Raw genomic sequence first — 13548 nt, 5'->3', positions numbered from 1 at the left:
TCAGTTAGAGACGCTAGTGACCATTCTTCTCTCAAGACTGAAAATTTAGGAGTCTACGCTCAGGATCCGGTCAGAAGACACATGTTGATCAGCAGTATGCGCAATCACTTTTGAATTCATCAGCTTTTCTTATTTTCTCAAATCACATATCTTTTTTTTTATATAGGCAGTATTTTTTTACTAGTTTCCTGCCTAAGGTTTCTCACTCATTCAATCCATTAGCTTCTTTCCCAGCAGTTATTGTTGTAAAACATAAAATAAATTTATATCATTTCCCTGATTAAACATTTAGAAAAATGCCTGTTTCTGTAGCAACATTTTTTTCTCTCTTCTTTTCTAATTAATTTACTCAAGATTCATTAATTTGAAGATAATGTAATTTTGGTTCCAATAATTGCATGTTCTGTTTTGCCCTATGGAGGAATGACAGAGAGCTGCGTATATTTTTATTGTGTATTTTACCTAACATTTTAACACATAACCCACTGCCTTAGCCAGTCTATGTATGTGAACACTATATGACTTTGATTCTCAAATCGTTTGGCTATATGTATTAGCTTCTAGAGCTGTGATTTCTGATTTTTAGAAGGCTTTTTTTTTTTTCAAATCAGTGCATCATTGGCGTTTAAGTTCACCTTGGATTTCAGTATACATTTAAATTAGGTTTTAAATGAGAAGTTTTAAATTAGGTTTTATTATTTTTGATACTTTGCAAGTGTGTCTTTTGTGGAATTCTTTCCTTACCGCCATTTAAATTATTTGGTTCCTATCCAATTATTTGCCATCACTCAGTTTTCACACTAAAAAAATGAAAATTAGTGGATTCACTATAAAATCTTTTCTCCCATTTTCATGAGGACTGGTTAAAGTCATTTCAGAATAACTGGACTTTAGAGTAAATATTCAACATCTTATATCACTAAGATGCTTCACAAGTTAGCACTGACATATTTTTCCTGTATTCTGCAAGCACATGGATTACGTCAGCCATAGTGGTGAGAGCTGATGATACCATCCCTGTTCTTGAGAAGTGCACAGTTTGGTAGGAAAGGTGGGCACTGAATGTTATAACAGTACCATATCCTACAGTAGTTTCTAAAGTATCTATAACATATTCATTTTTCTCCACCTAAGGACATGCTTTATTTCTTCTCTTTTTTTATCCCTTCATGAACCAACCTTTTCTGTCTGAGAGATTTGATTTTTTCTTCTTTAAGATCAGTTAAAATGCCAGACATTCCTCTTGTGAAGCCTTTCTTTGGTCCCAGTAGACAGTATCAATTATTCTTTCATAGAATGTTCCATGGTGTTCGTTTATATTTTTCTATTGTATGACTTCAGTCTTATTAAGTATACTTATAAATTCTATTTCCTTTTTTTTTTTTTTTTTTTTTGAGGTAGAGTCTTGCTTTGTCTTCCAGGCTGGAGTGTAGTTGGGCAATCTCGGCTCACTACAACCTCTGCCTCCCGTATTCAAGTGATTCCCCTGCCTCAGCCTCCCGAATAGCTGGGATTACTGGTGCCTGCCACCACTCCCAGTTGATTTTTGTATTTTTAGTAGAGATGGGGTTTCAACATGTTTGCCAGGCTGGTCTTGAACTCCTGACCTCAAGTGATCCTCCCACCTTGACCTCCCAAAGTGCTGGGATTACAGGCGTGAGCCTCTGTGCCCAGCCTAAATTCTATTTTATTTTTCTATTATCTTAAGTCTAATCTTACTATTTATTTACCTTGTTAGTCTCTCACAGTGGAACGTTTTCTTGTGTATTTGTGTATTCAAAATGTTTGTGAATTTATAATCATTGGGATTTAGAGGAATTCTCTGCGCTTTAAGTTGACAGCATGTCTTTCAAGATCAATTTGTCATTGGCTCTTTTCAAGCACTCCAGCAGTATCAAAAGTCAAAAAAATTTTATGGTAACATAAATATTTTTGTCATCTTCCTATACTGGTGAGAGTCAAATGTTTTCTAGCATATCCTATGTCTGAAACTATAACTTTTCTAGATTTTAGTCATAGGTGGTGGCCTCATTACCAACTTCTCTTCTTGCAGTAGTCTATTAACCTTATCTCCCATGGGCCTGAAAATCCATCTCCCAATGGTAAAAAAGACCAACAGCACTCTATTTTTCTCCCCAAACTCTTATTAAATGGCTTGTTTTCAGCAGTGTTTTTTGATCCCTAGAGACTTCTTTTTCTTGCTTGCAAACATACATCTAAAAAGAGGTTTGGCATAATTTCATCTAGCATTTCTAGATGAAAGAAAGAAATTTGTTCTTGTTTTGAGTCAATTATGCCACCAACTGTATCAGAATTTGTTGTCTGTATGAGTTTTTTTTTTCTGAGATTGTGCAATCTGATAATAAAATGGGCTCATTTTATTTATCTAGATTTTCTCAGCACCTCGTAGGAAAGCAATATGTATTAGCTATGTATTGTCTGTTTTACAAAGTGAAAAATTGATAGATATCCCTAAATTTGCAAACATGTCCTATAAACCTGTGTAATTCTTTTAAGTTTATATTCATACAGTCTATTTTCCAAAATGTGAATTATTTTCAAAAGCAAGATATGTGTGGTCTTGATCAGTATTATATACCTTATTTTGTTTTTATTTCAAAATCTGTATTGACTTTACTGAAATCAGTTCCTTTATCCGAGCACATTTTAAGTGTTCATAGTGGGAATAATAATTGTTTTTAATTTATGTTTGAACTTTATGCATAAAATTATATTTTGCAATCTCAATGTAATCATTTTTCAAAACCATTTTGCAAAATGAAATACCAGTATTTCTATATAAATCTATAAAAATTTTCAAAAACAAATTTTTTCTATATAGATATTTTAGGGATATTTTTTAAATCCAAGATTTATATATAATCATACATGATGATTCCAAAATTTACCTCCCAGTTCAGTTAATGAATATAGTTCTAGGTTAGTTAATCTGAAAATATTTAGATTGGAACAACATTGTATAAGAATAAAACTAGAATGTGAAAAGTTAGATTGGAACAACATAGTATAGGAATAAAACTAGAATGTGACAGAGTAAGAAAATTTTCTTGGTATGCTTATTGGAAGAATTAAAATGCCTGAGGCATTAAAAATATATATATTTATGAATTCTTTCCCTGTTCAACCAGTAGATGTCATGTTTGGATGTCAAAGCCCAAGATTATTATAAGGATATTTCTTTGGTTTTACTGTGTCTTTCTTATGAATGAATATATAAGCATAAAGTATAATTGGCTCTGAAATTAGAGGAGAAAATTAAGTGTGTCTCATTTCAAAAAATTTAAGATGCCCTTTTCCAATAAAATCAGGAAGCATTTTTCCTTTTAAAGCTTTTCCACAGTAGGCTCAGTAGAAAGTATGCTGTGAGGCATAAGTAAGCATGCCTATATTTAATCGTAACAACTGAAAATTATTTCTCATTAGCAATTACTTATTACTAATCATTACTATTTATGCACCATCTAAAAACGTTTTTTACCTTTAATTCCAAGTAATATGATTATTCAACTAAAAAAAACTTTATTTTCTAATCTCATGATTCTAAGTAAAAAAAGTAACGGATCTTATTGTATTTGATTATTTATTTGTATAACCTTTCATATGTTATCCCCATCTCCATTCTGCACCTTCATTTATTTATCTATAATATGAGATATTGAAATAATCTCTAAAGTATTTTCTAATCTAATGCTCCATGAAAAAATATTACCTGTGATTTACCCAATACAGATAAAGCATTTAAAAAAATACATTGGAAAGTCTTTGTGAGAGCATGCAATTAAATATAAAGATAACGTTTTATAGTGAAATTTGATATATTTGCAATATTTTAATGGGTTAGATTGGAGCTTAATTTTTTACTACCTTGAAAATGGATCTTGGTAAACAAATTCATATTACTCACAAGATCATGAGGATCTGTTTTTCAACTTCAGGGTAAAACTATTTCAGTAACTTCAAAAGTGTTCATTTAGATAAATAATGTTCCTAGAATAATGGCAATTTGTATTCATGGCATGCAGCCAGTTATCCTCGTGGTAGTCAACAAAAGTCAACTATAATAAGATAGCTACTTCCTGAAATGCTTCGAATATTTCCTGTTATTATTCTATCCTACTTCGCTCCATCCGCATTATCTGATGTCTCTCAGTCTTGCCCCAGAGAGATCCTGGCTGTTGGATCAGGCATGCTGCTGCCAGTCTCAGAGGAGGAAGAAGACCAAAGAGATGTTTCTTATGACTTTAGGATAAGTTTTTACATCTTTTGTTATATAGACCTGGAGGTAATTTCAGAGAGAAATTTCAGCCTCTTTAAAGCATTCCAAATTGTAAGGTCTGTATTTCGTTGCATCAGAATAACCTAGGGTATTTGAGAATGTCTGGATTCCTGGTCACCACCTTAGAGATGAATTCATCCTTATGAATACTATATTTGGAAAGACCTTATTCTTTTTAATAAATATGGCCTTTCAAGAGGAACTTTTTTAATGTTATGAGATAATTTTGAAGTGCCAGTTCCTCCGTATTTAAACCATATTTAATCTAAAATTAGTTAACATATCAAATCCAGTTTGACAGGCAAATGTTTTATAGCAGCCTACACAGTTCAGTTTCGGGACTGAAAGTTAATTTAAATGACCATCTTGTGGGCAGCTACCCATCTCAGTCCTGCTAAATGGCTGTTTAAGTGTTGACTAAATACCTCGAATAAAGGGAAATTTATAGTCTACTGAGGTAGGCCATTCCATATTCAAAGGTCATTGGTAGAACATTTCTAAGTCAAAATATTTACCATTTTATTCGGAAATCACTGGTATTCATCTTATTTCATGTATCTGTTAACATTTATTCTGATTTTTTCTGTGATCTATTTCAACTCCTAAAAATTCTGTTTGCCCCCCCGCCTTTTTATCCATGCTAAAAAAAACCCCTAGTTGTCCCTGTATTCTCTTCTTGATTCTCTTTGAATGAATTGTTTATTTTATTAAGAATGGGCTACTTAGAACTGAATCAATCACCCTTAGGTTTCTTCCTTGATTAAATAACAGAAGCAACCCCTCAGTCCTCATAGAAAAGAAACACTAGACTTTTACCTCCCCAATTCAATCTAGATACCACTCTGTAATGAAAACACTCTAGGTTTATGTTACTCATCTAAGCAGCTCATTACTTCTTTAGTAAATTTGTAGGTATTGGATGTGTATTTTTAATTAAAACCTCTAGCTGTCTAACTCAGCTACTACTAAATTCACCTCCTTTATTTCATTTTGAAAAATTTTGTTTCAAATACAAATTATCAAGAATGTTTTGCTTGTTGATTCCTTCACTCAGTATGTTGTTTTCCTCTCATTTGAGACTTTTCTTTTTTTTCTTTTCTTTTTTTTTTTTTGACAGGGCCTGGCTCTGTCCCCCAGGCTGGAGTGCAGTGGCACAATCTTGGCTCACTGCAACCTCTGCCTCCCTAGACTCAGGTGATCCTCCCACCACAGCAAGTAGGTCTTCCTGAGTAGCTGAGACCATAGGTACACTCCACCACACCTGGCTCTTTTTTTTTTTCTTTTTCTGGTAGAGACATTATTTTGCTATGTTGCTCAGGTTGGTGGGTCTTTAACAACTAGGTTCAAGAGATCCGAGCACCTCTGCTGCCCAAAGTGTTGGGATTATAGGCACGAGCCCTACAGCTGGCCTAATCTAATTAAAAGAAAGAAAAAAAGAAAAGATGTTAAATGAGTGATGATAAAAATACAGCTTTTAACTTATTAAGAATTGCGAAGCTACATGAAAAGTCTGGAAAAAAAATGTAATTAATTTCCATGAATGAGGAGGCCATACCTGATTCATTGTGTTCTTAATACGTAGGACAATATTTTGCATTGAATAGGTTCTCATTAAATATTGTTGTATTATTAAATAAATATGTTATTTGTAATAGAAAAAATTATACTTCAGAATATTGGGAAGGTGGATCTATAATTCCAAATGGTGTGTAAACTTTTCATTTTGGCAATTAAGAAAAACTGAGATGGTTTGTATGTGGTATATACACTATACGTAATTCACATTTCTTTAAAAATCTAAATATAAGCTAAATATTGACCAGATCTTTTATTAATTAATTGTTTTAAGTTTTATTAAGTTCACTTTATTGATGAAAGCTGCAGGTAATACAAACACAAATTTTCATTTCCACTAATTGTTTTCTACACAGTGGATCACTCACTTCCCGAAATACCTCTTTTGACCTCTAGGATACCACATTTTTAGTTTTCCCCAAATTTAGGTTGTTCCCTCTCAGGCATCGGTGTGGTTTTTATCTCCTCCCATAACTCTTAACCTTGGATTGCCCCAGTGTCAGACTTTCACCTTCTCTATCTACTCACACTTCCTTGGTAATATCCGTCTCTTGGCTTTAAATTTAAATTCTATCTGCATGCCTATGGTTAGCAAGATTATATCTCCAGTCTTGATCTCTCTTGTATTCCAGACTAGTTATATCCTACTGCATACTTGGTGTATCCATTTAGATCACTCAAATTATTTAAAAATGACTTTGATCTTCTTTCTCCAGATTTCATCCTCCCATGGATTTCCATTTTGGTTGATGAAAATCCCATTCCTCCAATCACTTAGGCCAAATGCTTTGTGTTCTTCCTTCTTTTCTCACACTGCCCATCCAATCAACCAGGAAATCTCACATCTGTTCTCAAAACATATCCAGAAAATTGATTGGATTTTATAATTACTAATGAAAAATATAGTAGAAATGGTAAAAGGGCCAAAGGGAATAAGTATGCTTACACTACAATATGTCATCATTCAAATTTAAGCACACTTTCTGTTTTCAGGAAAGGCCTATGCTCCAGAATTCTATTATGATACCTACAATCCAGTATGGCAGAACAGACACCGTGTTTATTCTTACAGTCTACAGTGGACACAGATGAATCCTGATGCAGTGGATCGGATTGTTGCATACCGGTTGGGCATCAGGCAGGTGAGAAATCTAACTGATGTCCTTTTTTCTTTGTGGTCCTCTGTGAAGACCTTGTTGTTATCATTTTTCTAAGAGTTTTGCATGAATTCCAAAATATATTTTATGTATATGTGTTTCTGTATATAGATAGACAGATAGATATGTTTTCACCCTATGTATATTACTCCACATAAACTGTTCCGACTTACTTGAAAAATCTTTGAAATTACATATTTTTCACTATGACAGCAGACATACTAAAGTGACAGCCTTTGAGCCTTCTAAAATCCTTCATCACTAGATAAGAGAGATAAATTACATGGTATAACTTCATAAAAGGAACTTATTTCAGATGTGCTCACACTCACCTATACTGCATAATCATTTGTCTTGATTCCTAAGAAGCCAGAAGTTGTACATATTTTTGCTTTAGGGGTTCAAGACATATACAGAATGTTGCATAAGCTAATTTAATATGTCTGAGAAATAGAAATACTTTTGTAAAATGAAAAGAAATTAAAGTATGATAGTTTCTTAAGGGAGCTGAAGATCAAGGGTTATGTGGAAAAAACTGTATCTTTTTCAAAGGGTTAAAATGTTAAATTCACGTATCCTTTGTTTAAATGATATTTTTGAAATTTAAGTGGAGGTCTTTACATTGTTTCTTCTTAGCATATTATCTGGATGAATTTCAGCATAACAAAACATTTTTGAAGATTTATTTGATCACCACATAATCTTTTAGCTCTCTCCCAAAACCTTGTATTATCCCTAGATTGGCAAAGTGCATGTTCCACTTCCTTAACTGTATCACAGAAAAATCTTTTGAATTGGGATGGTAGAGAGAATAAAATTTTCATCGAGTAAGACTGATCAACCTCCAACGATTCATTCAGCTATTCTATCATAAAACCATTGTGTTTTACAATAAAATACTTGTGTGACACATTACTCACATTAAGATACACTGTGGCCGGGCGCGGTGGCTCACGCCTGTAATCCCAGCACTTTAGGAGGCCGAGGCGGGCGAATCACGAGGTCAGGAGATTGAGACCATCCTGGCTAACACGGTGAAACCCCGTCTCTACTAAAAATACAAAAAAATTAGCCGGGCATGTTGACGGGCGCCTGTAGTCCCAGCTACTCGGGAGGCTGAGGCAGGAGAATGGCGTGAACCTGGGAGGCGGAGTTTGCAGCGAGCCGAGGTCGCGCCACTGCACTCCAGCTCTGGGCAACAGAAAAAGACTCCGATTCCAAAAAAAAAAAAAAAAAGATACACTGTATGTAGCATATTCTTATTCACCCTGTTTAAGATTCTCAAAAAAGTGAAAGAGCTTTTCCTAGTGAAAACATCCTGGCCTTTGATAATTACTGGATTCTTCTCTAAGTGCACACAGGCTACCGATACAGCAGACCATAGTGGATCATTCACAGTGTTTCTCTGGTTATCCCTCATTGAAAAAGGACTGTAGGTAAATCTGAGCAAAACCGAAATCTATATTAACATCGTTCTACCCATTCTAATTTGCTAATTTTCTTAAACAGAGAAGATAGAAACAATAGCAGCAACAAAACAAATTAGCAGTTCTTTCTCCCTCAGTTTGTGGGCTTATTTCTTTTTTCCTTAACACAGCTAATATTTTATAACCTTTCATATTTGGAGTATCTATAAGGATTCTTGACTTTACACACCTCATACTCTTTTTAAAACTCCTTACTACATTGTTTAATCATTCATATTCATTTTTTTGTTATACATGCTTTGTAAAAATGTAAGAATCTATGACTAAATTTTCATTTGTAAAATCAATTGTTTTCTTTAGGTAATTATTGTGCTATTTTCTGGTTATAGGTCTATTTGCAAAGATAGAGTCATAATTGTATCTTTAGTTTCTTACTTTCTTCCTCAGTTACGTTTTCTTGGAGTCTCTGGGTAACTTCCCATTACTAGCTGTGTGTTTTAAGTTCATAGAATTTACCCAACCCTTCTCATCATCTTCTTCCTTTACTTTTATGCACCTCAAATACTTTGTTTCTACTTAGTATCTGTGTTGTGGATGCAAATCAAAATCCTTACCTATAAGCGAAATTTAAATGAGTTAGAATTCCTCCCAAGAGAGATCCCGTCATTTAAGCCTTCTCTTTCTCATCCATATCTTGTACTCATTAGCAGACTATCCTCTGTAATATTTTTTGCTGGGAAATGCTACACCATTTTCCAGTGACAAAGTCTTCTTTTATTTTCCTTTCCTGACATGAACATCTCCAAATTCAATTTTTTATATTTTTTATCATAAAACTGGTGTATAACTCCCTGATACGCAGTGACACACATTTCTCAGTCATTGTATTGTTCCTTTTGAAAAATTAGTGAATTTTCTCCTACTCTTCCTCTTTAGAATAAATTATATATGATTCCATATGTATGTATAAATTTCCCTTTTCTATGTTTTTTTAAAATAATGAATTCCAGACACACTTGGCTTCCAATTCTAGCCAATACGGCCTCATATTTTTATAGCTACATAACCTTGAGCATGTTTCTGAGCATATCTAAGCCTGGGTTTTTAATCCTGTAAATTGAAGATTATACCTGTCAGGCAATTGGAATATGAAGTGGATTATGTCCCCCACTTGTTCCACAGGCCAGGTACTCTTGTGCAGGGCACTCCTTGCACAAACAGTTATGGCAATTCTTATACTCATCTGTCAGTGTTGTATACAGATTTTTTAAAAGAGTACATTTCATGAGCTGAGCATGTGTAGTATTTTTATTATTTGAGTTTTATTCTAAGCCTAAGCATTATTTCAAGTCATGGTTTTCACAAAATAATTTCTAGACCTTTTTTTATTATGTCTCATTTTCATTTCAAACCTATTGTCTTCTGTAAGATCTATGTTATTGATTCACATTTTTCTCTTCCACTTCGAGTTTCATTTCAAGCCTTCTTGATTGGATCAGTAAGTCTGATACTAATACTGTTCTTTCCAGGTTTTGTAAGATGCATGCTATTCACTAGAGGAAAAAAAAAACATATTTCTAGTGTAATAAACCATGGTGCAGAAAACAAATATTTCCCTTACTCAATTTTTGAAGCTAACTCTTTACCTGCCACTGTATACATTCTTTTCTGTACTCCTTTGTTCTTAGGATTTTCTTTTATATTTAGAAATAAGCGTTTTTTTCTAGGGTGCTTTTTATGATGCCGTATTCTAATTGGTAATTTTACTCTTTCCATGGGAGAGAAAACTTTGATGTATCTTTCAGGGATGTCTCAATAAAGAGTAATGACTTTGTGCTGTTCTGCCAATGTGAATAAGATGGTGCTGTTTGTAGATGGGGTGTAAGAAGAGAAGGAGCACGTAGACACACGCCTCTTTTTTTCAAAACTATAACCTCTGCACTGAACTCTTGCATAAAACATCTCTACATGCAAAATGGCCCCAGCAAGCAACATTGCCTTTGAAGATTCACTTACAAACAAAAGTTTAGGATGGTAGGGCAAAAGTATTCTAGATACAATAAAATCGATGTAGTTCTTTTTTAAAAAATTCCTTTTTAATAACAGGAAACAAAGGCATTAATGGAAATAGGTGCTTTTTTTTTTTACATTCTAAAGGAATTTATTGCAAACATTACCTTTTTGGAGATGGGGAGACTGAGGATCAAGATCTCGAAGCCAGTTAGTAGCTGAGCCAAGGCTCGAACTCAGGTCTCTGTACGTTTCTCATGGACCCCAGCTCCTCCGCCCCTCTTCATCCTATGGAGGATGCTGGGACTAATGGGATTTTGAACAAGTCTTGGGAGTAGGAAGTGATGAGCTTTTTTAATGAGAACAGGCAAAGTTTTATCTATGTGGCGGATGTTACCAGACAGGGCAGTGTTAACCCTGGCTGCCCACTGGAATCACCTGGGGAGTGTTACATGTGGGCTAATGTCTGGGTCCCACCACAGACCAGTTGAAACTACTTCTTTGTTCTCCTCGAAGTGTGACCTGTCTCACCAGCTCTGTCATCTTTAGGAATGACATTATAAGCCAGGTTTTCTGGAAGTGAGGTTTGTAGACAACCTCCATCAGGATGCCCAGAGATGCCCAGAGATACCCAGAGAAGCAGATACCAAGATCCTGTGAGCTCCTCCTTAATACAAGCTCCTGGGTTCAGAAGCCTGGCCGCTGTGTTTATAGCAAGTGTCCCAAGTAATTCTGATGCACAGCCAGTGTATTGGATGTGGTTTATTTTTCTTCTAGTCCACATGTCCCCCGCAGTTCCTTAATGATGCCTCCTGCCGCTTTGCTTCCTTACCTTCCCCTTCTGCAGACCTTGAGTGGAAGCAGGCGTGACCCTGCCTTGGGAGGGACTGCTGAACTTCAAGGTTTTCAATTGATTTTGATGCTTTTCTCCTTCCTCAGAAAGGAAAGAGATTTAGAATATGGGCTTTCTTCATATTAGATTTAAGATAAGAAATGATAATTACAACACTAAAACTAACCTTTAAAAAAATCTGTTGATTTGTTTGGTAAATGAGTGATAGGATTTTATCTTTCTCCATTAGATTAGCCCCTCTGTTCTTATTGATACACTATATTTATACATGTTTATGGGGTACATGTGAAATTTTCTTACATGCATAGGATGTGTAATTATGAGGTCAGGGTATTTAGGGTATCCATCACCTCGAGTATTTGTCATTTCTGTGTGTTGGGAAGATTTCTAGCATTTTTATATTTTCTCAGAAAATTTAAATTTCTCCTTTACCAGGCATTGACATTTAAATATCAATATTATCTTAGGACACAATCAGATACTAACTTTTAAAAATCACCTTTGGATAAAGAAATCACTCTTGAATTCTGAACTGTTTATTATTTTAATGAAGATTTTATATTACATGCATGTAGCCTTTTTCATCTGCCAAACTATTTCAGAATCCTAAATCAATGAGCTTTTGAACATAGTAAACATAACTTGGATGGTTTAAATACACTGAGTTAGGCATGTGGCCTAAGCAATATACATTTTTAAATACATGGATTTATGTCCTAATAACTATGGTTCACATATTTTACTAGAAGGCCAAATTTTATTCAAAGGATTATTAATTTATGTTACATATTTTGTGATTTTTAAAGTCTTATTATTTTAGGCAATATTTCTATTTTTAGCCTATACATGTACATGATTTCTTCTATCCATAAAATACCTAGGTTATCTAGTACAAAAATCTCACCTCTTAATATCAAACATTGCCTTGATTACATAATGCATTTGTGTATGAGATGAAGTCTGAAAACAAATTCGATTCTTTAAGACTAATAGCAGATTCACTTCCTAAGACCTTACCTTATTTTTAATCCAGAAACCTTTAGAAATCTTATTAATCATTCTTAAATTAAATAGGATTATAAAAACCATTGCTGTGTTATTAAACTCATAGATGTAGGGGGTTGATAAATTGAACCCAGCATTCCCTTTTGGTTAAACTGTATGGTCTGTACTTAAATTTGATTAGGAAAGTTGTCTCAGATTTCAGTATTGACTTACACAATTTTCTTGTAAAATAATGCATTATATCTAGAAAAAAAGCACTGAAATTCTGGAATCACTGCTTTAAGAAACTTAAAAAGAGAACTAATATATAATGAGAAGCTAAAAAATTAATTTGTGGAAAAAAGTTTTCTCAGAATCTTTATGTCCTAACAAAGTTGTACTTTTTAGGCTCAGCTAAGCAATTGTTTAATCTCCTTAGACAGCTATTAACCTCCAATTATTTGCTTCATTTGTTGCTTAACAGGAAAGAGAAAAAGATTATTTGAATATCTACTTTCCTTGGTATCTAAGGAATTAAAAAACAGGAAAAATGTTTCTAAGTTATCTAAATATACCAAGCAACGTAAACATCATTTTACTTCATTTGAAATGTACACAATTACAGTTTTAAATAATACACAATTTTATACAGTTTCCTTTTTTATATTCAGCCATAGAAATACACAATGATGTGACTTTTTGACTGTATCTTTGGAAAGTAGGATATTTTATTTTAAAAAAATCCATAATTGACCAATTCCTTTTTTAAGTCATGTTGTATTAAAATATTTAGAATTATCATACTTATTTGCTCTCCCATTCAGTCAATAAAATTTGATTAAATTAGTTATATGGTAATTTCCAGGAATTTAAAAACGAAGTATTGTCCTCAACGTCTTATAAAAGTAAGTGGTTTAATAGAAATAAACAAAGAGTATCATAGAAATCGATGGGGGCAGTTAGTACTGCCAGGTAGTGGGGCAAGAGACACGATCACTGAGGTGCAAACTTCATTTGTTTGTTAATTTTATAGGTTTATTCCTAAACTTTCTTAAACGGTGACCACGAGTAATCACTAATTACTAATAAAAAGTAATAAGCAAAAAAGATATGTTTGATACAATTGATTGTTGGATAACTTTATTACAAATTTAATTTTGGTCTTCAGTAGATGTGACTATAATGGTTGAGCTATTGCTTATTTCTCCTTCCAGTTAAAACATTTTTAAAAGTTATTTTAGTGAA

General features: G+C 33.6%; 1 protein-coding gene across 8 annotated transcripts in view; it reads left to right on the top strand.

Moving 5' to 3' along the window:
* Positions 1–13548, top strand: part of MDGA2 (MAM domain containing glycosylphosphatidylinositol anchor 2) — an 835983-nt gene that overhangs the window by 748580 nt on the left and 73855 nt on the right. For all 8 annotated transcript variants that reach the window (XM_011536519.3, NM_182830.4, XM_047431048.1 and 5 more), the window contains one exon: positions 6866–7014. In XM_011536519.3, the coding sequence (XP_011534821.1) occupies positions 6866–7014 (149 nt within the window). The remainder of the gene's footprint in view (positions 1–6865; positions 7015–13548) is intronic.

This window comes from Homo sapiens, chromosome 14 (assembly GCF_000001405.40).
Source record: "Homo sapiens chromosome 14, GRCh38.p14 Primary Assembly".
NCBI classification, from domain to species: domain Eukaryota; kingdom Metazoa; phylum Chordata; class Mammalia; order Primates; family Hominidae; genus Homo; species Homo sapiens.
This window is presented reverse-complemented; position numbering and strand designations above follow the sequence as displayed.